This window comes from Homo sapiens, chromosome 1 (genome assembly GCF_000001405.40).
Source record: "Homo sapiens chromosome 1, GRCh38.p14 Primary Assembly".
In the NCBI taxonomy this organism is placed as follows: domain Eukaryota; kingdom Metazoa; phylum Chordata; class Mammalia; order Primates; family Hominidae; genus Homo; species Homo sapiens.
In genome coordinates, this window is record NC_000001.11 from 110,387,826 (window position 1) to 110,400,773 (window position 12,948).

General features: G+C 45.2%; 1 protein-coding gene across 12 annotated transcripts in view; it reads right to left on the bottom strand.

Moving 5' to 3' along the window:
- Nucleotides 1–3,201, bottom strand: part of SLC16A4 (solute carrier family 16 member 4) — a 28,170-nt gene extending 24,969 nt beyond the window's left edge. For 8 of the 12 annotated variants that reach the window (XM_006711033.4, NM_001201548.2, NM_001319220.2 and 5 more), the window contains exons 1-2: nucleotides 3,040–3,201; nucleotides 1,412–1,530 (exon numbers count right to left, since the gene is read on the bottom strand). In XM_006711033.4, the coding sequence (XP_006711096.1) occupies nucleotides 1,412–1,445 (34 nt within the window). In that variant the 5' untranslated portion in view covers nucleotides 1,446–1,530; nucleotides 3,040–3,201. Of the gene's footprint in view, nucleotides 1–1,411; nucleotides 1,531–2,342; nucleotides 2,473–3,039 lie in introns of all 12 variants that reach the window. The other 4 variants (XM_047433990.1, XM_047433967.1, XM_047433980.1 and 1 more) reach the window with 1 other exon arrangement.
- Between the last annotated feature and the right edge of the window lie 9,747 nt (nucleotides 3,202–12,948).

Genomic DNA, 12,948 nt, shown 5'->3' on the forward strand with positions numbered 1-12,948 from the left:
GGGGAAAATGAGATTGTTTAGTACTGAAGCTAATGTTTAGCAAGTACTACTATTATGTGTTAAGAGTTTTGTATTACATAAATCCTGGCTGGGGACCTCTGCCCCTATCTTGTCTAGCACGAGGGAGGAGGCCTGATGTTTTCCCACCATCCTATTTGTAGAATTCTTAGATATCTGCATGTGAACTATAGGATTATTAGAAGGCACCAAGACCTGTGCTACCTTTCCCCGTGAGCTGCTTACTGTAGGGCTGAGTAGGGGGGAAGTGTCGGCAAGAAAAGGGTGTTTTTTTTTGAGTGCATCTCAAAGTTAATAGAACTCTGGAAACACTTAAGAATTGTGCAGCTGGTGCCACTCTCTGGAGAGCTGTGTGGGGCATAGCTGGGGTTCACCAACATTCTGGAATGGGCATGCTGATGATGCAGATCACCACTCTCACACCTCAACCCCTGGGAGGGTGAGGGAAAGAAGTTAATTTAAAAAATGGAATGCCTCGTCTAGTTGCTTATGGGTAAAGGAGAAGAATCAGGCTCCCCCTTCAAAATCCTTGTCCTCCCTTTCCAAACACATCGGAAATATAGATAGCATAAACTATAGTTAGTGGGGATGGATTGGGAAGTAGACAGCAGGCCAAACAGAGGAAATGTCCCCACCCCTTATCGGTAGAAGGGGCTGTGCCCACAGTGTTCTATCTATGCTGGGCTGAACTGGGGAGATCACCCCCAGAGCACTTTTTAGCACCTCCCAGTGCTACTTTTGGGATGGTTAAAAGTATGATTGTCCCCAAACCCTAATTGCCATGCAGCCAGTACAGAACTGCTGATTGTGACTGAGCATTCTCAGGTTTAAGAGATGATAGGAAGAGTAGATGACTGGATTCAGGAACACTTCTGTTTGTTTGTTTTGAGAGAGTCTCTCATGGTTGCCTAGGCTGCAGTGCAGTGGCACGATCTTGGCTCACTTCAGTCTCCACCTCCTGATTTCAAGCAATTCTCCTGCCTCAGCCTCCCAAGTAGCTGGGACTACAGGTGCATGCCACTGCACTCAGCTAATTTTTGTATTTTTGTAGTGATCGGGTTTCACCATGTTAGCTAGGCTGGTCTCGAACTCCTGACTTCAAGTGATCCACACACCTAGGCCTCCCAAAGTGCTGGGATTATAGGTGTGAGCCCCCACACCCAGCCCAGGAACATTTCTGCTTTTGCTCTAGGGGCATTTTCAACTTTCTCCTGGGTTCGGCATGGGCCTCTGACTTTAGCAGTTTTTGGCAGCTCCTGGCCTTGTTCCTGCCCACCCCTCCACTCAGATGCCAAAGATTTCCTAAGTGATCCTATTCGTAGGCAGCTCTGAGCCTTTCTCCAGAAAGCCTGCTTTTAGGCAATAGGAAAGGGGGAAAAAAGTGAATTCTTACCAGGAAAAAATGAATCACAATCATCCATCCCCATCCTCCATCCAGGGTTTTAGTGTAAGGTTGGACCTTCCCCTCCCTCTTCAGCATGATGCCTCTTCTATTTTAAATGCAGAAGATCCCTGTGATAAATCCAAGACAGTTGATTCAGTGGACCAGAAACTAATCTAAACTTTTAAACTTTTTATCTGAAAGGGAACGTTCATACATTGTTGGTGGGAATGCAAATTAGTTCAGCCACTGTGCAACGCAGTTTGGAGATTTCTGAAAGAACCAAAAATTGAACTACCATTTGACCCAGTAATCCCATTCCTGGGTATATACCCAAAGGAAGATAAATTGTTCTACCAAAAAGCCACATGCACTTTTATGTTCACTGCAGCATTATTCACAATAGCAAAGACATGGAATCAACCTACGTGCTCATCAACAGTGGGTTGGATAAAGAAAATGTGATACATAGACACCATGGAATACTACACAGCCACCATAAAAAAGAACAAAATCATATCCTTTCCAGCAATATGGATGCAGCTGGACCATTATCTTGAGCAAATTGATGCAGAAACAACCAAATACTGCATGTTCTCACTTATAAGTGGGAGCTAAAAATTGGGTACATATGGACATAAAGAGGGGAACCACAGACACTGGGGACTACAAGATAGGGAGGGAGGAGGGTTGAAAAACTCCCTATTGGATGCTGTGCTCACTATCTGGGTGAGGGGTTCAATTATACTCCAAATCTCAGCATCAGACAATATGCCTTTGTAACAAACCTACACATGTACCCCCTGAATCTAAAATAAAAGTTGAAATGTAATACAAAACAGAAAAAAAACCTCTTTCCCTATGATATAAAACCACTTGTAATTTTTTTTTAACCCCTCAGTTACAGATGAAGTCTGCCTGATGCAACTAAGGACTTAGTTACCTGGAAAGCCTGATCTCAGTGACTGTGGGGTGGCCACTCCTAGAACTGTACTCAGTGTCCCTCCCCCCAGGTCTGCAAGCCAGTTTCTTGGAGAAGCTGTGCGTCACCCTGCTGGTCCTCCGGGTGAACTCTTAAGAGAAATAGAAAGGGAAGGCGAGCCTTGAGTTTAGGAATTCTCCTTAGAAAACACTTGCTAAATGTAAATATTTTTGGAGCTAAACAGACATGACAACGAAATGCGATACCCGCTTATTGAATATATCCTAGATCAGAAAAAAAAGTTGTAAAAGACAGTTTGTGGGGACAGTTGGGGAAATTTGAATATGGACTGTATAATACAGAATACTGTACCAAGGTTAACCTCTTGGAACCTCTTCCACAAGAGAATATTCTTAGGAGATACATGCTAAAGTATTCAGGAGTAACATGACACTATGCTACCTTCTCCCAATCGGTTCCGTAAAATAAACAAGTGTATATAAAGAATGATAGCAAAAAGAAAATGTAAATGTTCTGAGGAAGGGGGAACAGTACTCATTATTTCCCCTGTCGGGTCGAAGGCTGACTGTTTCTAACTGGAAAGGAAAGTCAGCTGGCAGGGTATGCGGAATGGCCATCTGGTGAGCAGGCTGGGTGGGGAGAGATGCCAGTCGTTGTTAGAAAACCAACCCAGCACACAGTCCCATTCCCATCTTACCTTTGATGTGGTGTTCAGCAAAGAAATCCTCCACAGATGGGGCAATTAAGGAAGAAAAATAAATTACACCGTTTTCTGGAATGTTACTCTTTTTCTAAGGCATTTCATTTTGCTGCATTGTGAAAACAAGTGAGCATTGTAAGAGCCAAGGAGGGCTCAGACGATTTAGGCCCTCCTGCTAGTGGACTTTACTTCCTGAGGGGAGGAGGAAAGACTGTGATTTGATGTCATCTCAGGCCCTCCCTCCACCCACAGTCACTCAGAAGGTAGAATTTTTTGCCGCAGGCTCAAAAGCAAGCATGAAGTAAACTAAGTGGAAAGTCCTTTTGGCGACTATGCTCAGGGCAGGGGGATGGGGCTCCAGAGCTCTCATACACTTGTCTTCAAATTTCCTCAGGGAACTTCTCACAACATGCTTATTTTACAGGAGAATATAAAACTCCTGGATGGGTGGTGAGAGAGGCATTTCCTGGGCCACAAACAGAAATCTTCAGTAAGCTCAACCCATTCGTGTGGCCTTTTGTATATTGACTAAAGATTCTGGTTACTAATTTGGGGTTTCAGACCCCATTTTAATTGCATTTTTGAGATCTGATTACCTCAACCACCTCCTGCAAAAGACGTATGCTCGTAGTAATTTTAATGAGATTTTTTTTATTATATTTTGGAAATGGTTAAGGCTGAGACCCCTAGAAAATTACTGGGATAATTCAACTTTCTCTTCCCATTTCCTCCCTCTACCCTCCACATAAAACAAAACAAAACAAACAAGTCAAATGGGAAATTGTCTTTCGTCTCCCACACCAATATTCCAGATTTTAAACCAGAGTATATTTTAGACGAAAGGATGTGTTTTTAGTTTTATCTGGAAAATCTGCACATATTTATGCATGTTCCTTTTTAAGAAGCAAGAGGCTTCTCAGATTCTTAAAATCAAACTCTATAATACTTTTTGATTAAAGTGCTTGCAGAAGGACAGCTTAGTGGTTTGGGAGGGTGCCCTGTAAGTGTAAGCATGGAAGGATTATGCAGTTACATGATGCTGGTGGCAAGGATCAAATAAACATTCAACAGAAGGAGAAAACCCAAAGAGAGAAGGCAAATAAATGCTTTTCAGAGAGCTGTTTGTAATTATGAATACACTCTAGACAACTTTTTTTTTTTTGAGACAGAGTCTCACTCTGTCGCCCAGGCTGGAGTGCAGTGGTGCAATTTCGGTTCACTGCAACCTCTGCCTCCCGTGTTCAAGTGATTCTCCTGCCTCAGTCTCCCAAGTACCTGGTACTACAGGCGCATACCACCACGCCCAGCTAATTTTTTGTATTTTAGTAGAAACGGGGTTTCACCGTGTTGCCCGGGCTGGTCTCAAACTCCTGAGCTCAGGCAATCCGCCTGCCTTAGCCTGCCAAAGTGCTGGGATTACAGACGTAAGCCACCGTGGCCAGCCTGAAAACATTTTTTAGTAAACAAGACTGATTTATTTATTTTTTTGGTGGCACGCTTGTTGCTCTTTTAAAGCAGGGCTATCTATGATTTCTTTTTTTCTTGAGACAGGGCCTGCTCTATTGCCCAGGCTGGAGTCAGTGGCATAATCATGGTTTACTGCAGCCTTGACCTCCCCAGCTCAAGCAATCCTCCTACCTCAGCCTCCTGAGTAGCTGGGACTACAGGCATGCACCACCATGCTCAGCTAATTAATTTTTTTTTTTTTTAAGAGATGGGGGTTTCACTCTGTTGCCCAGGCTGTTTGCAATGTCCTGGGCTCAAGCGATCCTCCCATCCTGACCTCCCAAAGTATTAGGATTACAGGCATAAACCACTGTAAGGAGCCAGCTATCCATAATTCTAATCACAGGATGAAATGATGCTAGGCTATATATATATTTTTCTTACACACACACACACAGAGGAATATATATATACACACATATACATATAGGAACATATACAACTGGGAAGTTAGATTTCAGGAGGGTTCCTACCATTCCTTAAATGATAATAGTGAATCATTGTGCCTAACCTATGTAAACAATACATTATATATGTGTGTATATATTCCTATTCATCTTTGTCTTATAATAGGCTTTATATTGATAGAGAACTCTGATGCTAATGCCTGGGGTCAGATTTGAAATGCGGCAGAACAGCAAGTCATTCATAGAGGCCAAGAGGACAGCAAAGTAATCAGAGATGAACTTCAAACATATGTTTCATAGAGGCACATGAACAGAAATGCAGGCTTGGTGATAATCTCAATTTTGTCAGTTTTTAAGCCCGTAGACTCTGGGCAATTTACTCTCTTTGAGTCTGTTTCTAAAACTCTAAAGCGTAGCTAATATTTTGCAAGGTTGTTGTGAGGATTAACAATATATAATGTAAGATGACTGCACATTGGACCTACTATTGGTACTTGGTTCATGAAAAATAATTTTTGTTAGTCAAATGAGGCCTAATAGCAAGAAGAAAGAATTCTTAAGCCACCTTTGGGATATTAGTTAACATTTTGGCATCTGTACCCAATTGTCTTAATAAAGCTTGTAGGGTCTTTAACGAAACATAAACAATTCCCTCAACTTCTAACCTTTTAACTCTTGGCCCTAAAGCTATTCAGCAAGAATGCAGCATGATTTGGCAATCACCACTATTACCCCCATCCCAGTGTCAAACATAGCCAGCCCAGGAATAATTTTTAACACTTATGGATTTAGACTTTAATAAGCTTTACCAACTAGAATTAAGATACTTTATTTTTAGTTGACTCTCTCCTTGCCCTCATTCAATCCTTGTTCAGAAAAGAGTTAACATCGCTGGCCTGAGATTCCTATTCTTTGAAAGGCCTGTTTACATGGTTGGCCTCTGGCTGGCAACTGGGAACTTAGATTTCAGGAGGGTTCCTACCATTCCTTAAATGATAATAGTGAATCATTGTGCTTAAACTATGTAAACAATACAATTTTTATGCTGAACATTTGCTTTTTTCGGGAGCTTGGAATTTTGATATGTGCTAGGCAGAGAGGGTACTTTGGTGACCAGCCCCCTTGGGCACTGAGTCTCTACTAAGCTTTCTGGATTGGCAACATTTCACACATGTTGTTACAACTCATTGCTGGAGGAATTAACTGCATCCTGTGTATCTTCACTGATAGAAGAATTCTTGCAAGCTTCTGCCTGGTTTCTTCTGGACTTTGCCCCATCCTCCTTTTGCCTTTGTTGAGTCAGCTTTGTATCCTTTCACTTTAATAAACCATGTAAGTACAACAACTAAATGCTCAGTCCTGTGAGTCATCCTAGTGAATTATCAAACCTGAGGGGTTGAATGAGTCTGGGTTCTCGAGAAAGAATAGAATATTCTCCAGAGCAAGAACCAGTGATGGGGGAGGAGATATTAAGGTTGATTTACTATGAGAATTGACTCACATGATTATGGAGACTGAAAAGCCTGCACTCTGGTCAGCAAGCGGGACACTCAAGAGAGTTGATGGTGTAGTTCCAGTCTGAGTCCAGAAGCCTGAAAACCAGAAGTGCTGATGGTGTAAGTTTTAGTCTGAGAGGGCCTGAGAACCAGGAGAGCCATTTGTGTAAGTTCCATTCTGAGTTTGAGTCCAAAGTCAGGAGAAGACTGATGTCCCGACTCCAAGACAGTCAGGCAGTGAGAAATTCTTTCTTAGCCTTTTATTCTATTCAGGCCTTTAATGGATTGCATGAGTTCCGCTCACATTGGGGAGGGCAGTCTTCTTCAGTCTACTGATTCAAATGCTGATCTCATCCAGAAACACCTTCACGGTTACACCCCAAAATAATGTCTAGCCAAATACCTGAGCATCCCATAGCCCAGCCAAGCTGACACATAAAATTAACTATTATAGAAGTGTCCTGGGACTCCCTCATACAAGCATACTTCAGCTTTGGCTCTGTACAGACTAGAAAATGAGCCTTTTCCAGCCTCAAGCTCTTTCCAGCACATCTTATGTTTCATTGATAAATTGGATACATTATATCCTACCTCAAAGGGTGCTGTGAAGAATAAATGAGAATGTATGTTCATTTATTTCATTCAATAAAAACAATTGCTTCCTATGTGCCAGACGCTGTGCCAGAGGGGGATATGTGGTAGACACAGGGTGGCATGAGATGTGGCCCAAGGGGTTAGCAGGGCTTGAATTATGCAGGGGTTGGGAGGTCATGGTTAGAACTTATTTTTTTTTTTGGATACAGGGTCTCGCTCAGTCACAGCCCAGGCTGGAGTGCAATGGCACAATCTCATCTCACTGCAACCTCCGCCTCCTGGGTTCAGGTGATTCTTGTGCCTCATCCTCCTGAGTAGCTGGGATCATGTGCACCACCACACCCAGCTAATTTTTTTGGATTTTTAGTAGAAATGGGATTTCACCATATTGGCCAGGCTGGTCTCGAACTCTGGACCTCAAGTGATCTGCCCCTCTCGGCCTCCCAGAGTGCTAGGATTACAGGCATGAACCGCTGTGCCCAGCCATAACTTTTTAATTCTAAATGCAATGGGAGGCTGTTCGTGGTGGCTCATACCTATAATCCCAGTGTGCCCGGAATTGGTGGGTTCTTGGTCTCACTCACTTCAAGAATGAAGCCGCAGACCCTGGCCGTGAGTGTTACAGTTCTTAAAGGTGGCGTGTCTGGAGTTTGTTCCTTCTGATGTTCAGATGTGTTCAGAGTTTCTTCCTTCTGGTGGGTTCGTGGTCTCGCTGGCTCAGGAGTGAAGCTGCAGACCTTCGCCGTCAGTGTTACAGCTCATAAAGACAATGTAGACCCAAAGAGTGAGCAGTAGCCAGATTCATTGCAAAGAGTGAAAGAACAAAGCTTCCACAGTCTGGAAAGAAACCACACGAGTTTGCCACTCACTGCTGGCTCAGGCAGCCTGCTTTTACTCTCTTATCTGGCCCCACCCACATCCTGCTGATTGGTCCATTTTACAGAGAGCCGATTGGTCTGTTTTACAGAGAGGTGATTGGTCCATTTTGACAGGGTGCTGATTGGTGCGTTTACAATCCCTGAGCTAGACACAAAAGTTCTCCACATCCCCACTAGATTAGCTAGATACAGGGTGTAGATTGGTGTATTTACAAACCCTGAGCTAGACACAGAGTGCTGATTGGTGCATTTACAAACCCTGAGCTAGACACAGAGTGCCCATTGGTGCATTCACAATCCCTTAGCTAGACATAAAGATTCTCCAAGTCCCCACCAGATTAGCTAGATACAGAGTGCTGATTGGTGCATCCACAAACCCTGAGCTAGACACAGGGTGCTGATTGGTGTGTTCACAAACCTTGAGCTAGACACAGAGTGCTGATTGGTGCACTTACAATCCCTTAGCTAGACATAAAGGTTCTCCAAGTCTCCACTAGACTCAGGAGGCCAGCTGGCCTCACCCAGTGGATCTCGCACTGGGGCCGCAGGTGGAGCTGCCCGCCAGTCCAGTGTGGTGCGCGCAGTCCTCAGCCCTTGGGCGGTGGATGGGACCGGGCGCCGTGGAGCAGGGGGCGGTGCTCGTCAGGGAGGTTCAGGCCGTGCAGGAGCCCACAGCCGGCCGTGGGGGTAGACTCAGACATGGCGGGCTGCAGGTTCCAAGCCCTGCCCTGCGGGGAGGCAGCTAAGGCCTGGCGAGAAATCGAGCGCAGCGCCGGTGGGCCAGCACTGCTGGGGGACCCCGCGCACCCTCCGCAGCTGCTGGCCTGGGTGCTAAGCCCCTCACTGCCCGGGGCCGGCAGGGCTGGCGGGCCAGCCTCTCCGAGTGCGGGGCCCGCCAAGCCCACACCCACCCGGAACTCTAGCTGGCCCGCAAGCGCCGCGCACAGTTCCGGGTCCCGCCCCTGCCTCTCCCTCCACGCCTCCCCGCAAGCCGAGGGAGCCGGCTCCAGCCTTGGCCAGCCCAGAGAAGGGCTCCCACGGTGCAGCGGCGGGCTGAAGGGCTCCTCAAGCACTGCCAGAATGGGGGCCGAGGCCAAGGAGGCACCGAGAGCAAGCGAGGGCTGCATGGGCTGCCAGCACGCTGTCACCTCTCACAGGCACTTTGAGAGGCCAAGGTGAGTGGATCAGTTGAGGCCAGGAGTTTGAAACCAACCTGGCCAACATGGCGAAACCCTGTCTCTGTGCAAAAATTAGCCAGGTGTTGTGGTGCATGCCTGTAATCCCAGCTACTTGGGACGCTTGAGGCACGAGAAGCACTTCGACCTGGGAGGAAGAGGGTTGCAGAGAGCCGAGATGGTGCCACTACGCCCCAGCCTGGGTGACAGAGTGACACTCTATTTCAAATAAATAGATAGATAAATAAATAATGTAAATGCAATGAGAGGCTCCTTAGGGGAGGTTTAGCATTGTGCCTGGTAAACAGCAAGCACTCAATACATGCTTGCTATTAAGGATTACCACCAAGATGCCCTGTCAACATCTAAAATCAAACCCAGTCATCTTTTCGCTGTTATTGAGTTCACTGCTTTTTTCTAAGACACCCAGTTCTATCGCCTAGACTAGAAAATTCAATCATCTTTAATTCTTCATTCTCCTTTATTCCCTTTCTGCCAAATTTTTTTATTTTATTTTATTTTTTTGAGATCGCATTTTGCTTTTGTTGCCCAGGCTGGAGTGCAATGGCGCGATCTCACTGCAACCTCCCTCTCCTGGGTTCAAGGAATTCTCCTGCCTCAGCCTCCCGAGTAGCTGGGATTACAGGCATGTGCCACCATGCCCAGCTAATTTTGTATTTTTAGTAGAGATGGGGTTTCTCCATGTTGGTCAGACTGGTCTTGAATTGCCGACCTCAAGTGATCCACCCGCCTCAGCCTCCCAAAGTGCTGGGATTACAGGCGTGAGCCACCACGCCCGGCCTAATTTGCTTTTTTTTGTCTCTTACATTTGATCCTGAGCTAATGATCTTGTGGAGCCTATTTCTTCTCTAAAATGGGGATAATACCTTGTAAGATTGAGGATCAAATGAGGTAAATGAATGTAAATTGCTTAGCATGTGGCAAAAACTCACTAAAGATTCACTGTTATTACTTTGGGCTAGGAACTGGAGATACATAGATGAACAAAAGGAAGCTCACCTTGAAAAAAATGAGCTCTTTCTACAAATTAATTTTGTTTTTCTTTGAGATGGAGTCTCACTCTGTCACCCAGGCTGGAGTGCAGTGGTGCAATCTTGGCTCACTACAACCTCCGCCTCCCGGGCTCAAGTGATTCTCCTGCCTCAGCCTCTCAAAGTAGCTGGGATTGTAGGTGCTCGCCACCACACCCAGCTAATTTTTATATTTTTAGTGGAGATGGGGTTTCACCAGGTTGACCAGGCTGGTCTTGAACTCCTGACCTCAGATGATCCAGCTGCCTCGGCCTCCCAAAGTGCTGGGATTATAGGCGCGAGCCACGGCGCCTGGCCACTACAAATTAATCTTAAAACTCCACCTTTACTCTCACCTGCTCCAAAATCCAATCTGCTAATAAGATAAAGCCTAGATTTCTTAAAAAGCAGATATTCAGTTTCCTTGAGTTAGCTGCCCTACCTTTCAGCTTTTTCACTTCCTACCTCACAGACCAAACTAAGGCATTTGCTATTACATATTCCTTTTGGTTTATCCACTCTTCACACTGCCATTTCCTCTTGCTGGAAACCCCATATTCCTTTTACTGCAAGCATCCATTCATTCTATCTTTGGAGGCTCAGTTCATACTACAAAACTCTTTTGTGGGGCCAGGCATGGTTGCTCACACCTGTAATCCCAGCACCTTGGGAGGCCGAGGCGGGAGGATTGCTTGAGGTCAGGAGTTCAAGACCAGCCTGGGCAACACAGCAAAACCCTGTCTCTACTAAAAGTACAAAAATTAGCCAGACGTGGTGGTGTGCGCCTGTAGCCCCAGCTACTCGGGAGGCTGAGGCACAAGAATCTCTTGCACCTGGGAAAGCAGAGGTTGCAGTGAGTCAAGATTGTGTCCCTGCACTCCAGCCTGGGCGATAGAGCAGGACCCTGTCTCAAAAACAAAAAAATAAAGAAAACCTCTTGTACTAGTTATATACTCATCTATTCAGCAATTATTCAGTGCCTACTCTGTTCTAGGAACTGTTCTAGGTGCTTAAGATATATATGTAAATAAGACTAAGGGGCTGGGTGCGGTGGCTCACGCCTGAAATCCTAGCACTTGGGAAGCCGAGGCAGGTGGATCGTTTGAGGCCAAGAGTTTGAGACCAGCTGGCCCAACATGGCAAAACACTGTCTCTACTAAAAATACAAAAATTAGCTGGGCGTGGTGGCGTGTACCTGTAGTCCCAGCTACTCGGGAGGCTGAGGCACAAAAATCACTTGAACCCGGGAGGCGGAGGTTGCAGTGAGCCGAGATTGTGCCACTGCACTCCAGCCTGGGTGACAGAGCGAGACTGTCTCAAAAAAAAAAAAAAAAAAAGACAAAGCTTTTGCCCTCAAAGTGTGTACATTATTGGGGAAATCAGACATAAAACAACATGTATGTCAGGTATTAATAAGTATGGTGAAGACCATACATATATATCCCATTTATTAAAGTACAAGCTCAAGGGCTGGAGCTATGTCTTACTAAAAATCTTTGCTTTCTCACATAGCACCTTATATTTGTAGATGCTTAATATTTTTGGATAAATAATATCCTGGAGGTTTTTATACTGTCAAATGTTAAATCGCTAGAGCAACAGAACTACATTCAAGTTCAACAAATCAGTCTTTTGTGCCTGCTTGTGCACAATTCCGTTGAGAACTATAAAGGTTGAAGCGAACCTTTTTTTTTTTTTGAGACAGTGGCTTGCTCTGTCACCCAGGCTAGGGTGCAGTGGCACATCAACGTCAACCTTCTGGGCTCAAGTGATTCTCCTGCCTCAGCCTCCCAAGTAGCTGGGACTACAGGCCCATGCCACCATGCCTGGTTAATTAAAAAAAAAACATTTTTTGTAGAGATGGGGTCACACTATGTTGCCCAGGCTGGTCTTGGCTTAAGCCATCCTCCTGCCTTGACCTCCCAAAGTGTTGGGATTACAGGCATGAGTCACTGTGCCCAGCTAGACCTTTTCAAATGTAAAAATTTATTTTCTAGCCAACATGTCCTATTTGGTGGTCTGGGTGTTAAAGAGTACAGACTCAGCTGGGTGCGGTGGCTCATGCCTATAATCCCAGCACTTTGGGAGGCTGAGGCGGGTGGATCATGAGGTCAGGAGATTGAGGCCATCCTGGCTAACACAGTGAAACCCCATCTCTACTAAAAGACAAAAAATTAGCCGGGTGTGGTGGAGGGCACCTGTAGTCCCAGCTACTCGGGAGGCTGAGGCAGGAGAATGGCGTGAACCCAGGAGGCGGAGCTTGCAGTGAGCTGAGATCGTGCCACTACACTCCAGCCTGGGCAACAGAGCGAAACTCCGTCTCAAAAAAAAAAAAAAAAAAAAAAAAAAAGTACAGACTGAATTGGAGTCCCGAGTTCAAATGATGACTGGTAATTTCATAGCCTTAGTTACACAAACCTAAGATAGATAGGGTAAGTAAGAGTACCTACTGTATAGGGTTGTTAAGGATAATTAAATGAGTTCCTGGCATATAGTATACTTGATCCTTGAACAACACGGGTCCACTTACACATGAATTTTCTTTCACCTCTGTCACCCCTGAGACAGTGAGACAAACCCTCCTTTTCAGCCTACTCAATGTGAAGATGACAAATATAGACCTTTTATAATGATCCACTTCTACTTAATGAATATTGAATATATTTTATCTTCATAGTTTTAATAACATTTTTTCTAGCTTACTTTACTCTAAGAATATAGTATATAATACATAAAACAGCCGGGTGCGGTGGCTCATTGCCTATAATCCCAGCACTTTCGGAGGCTGAGGCGGGTGGATCACGAGGTCAGGAGATCGA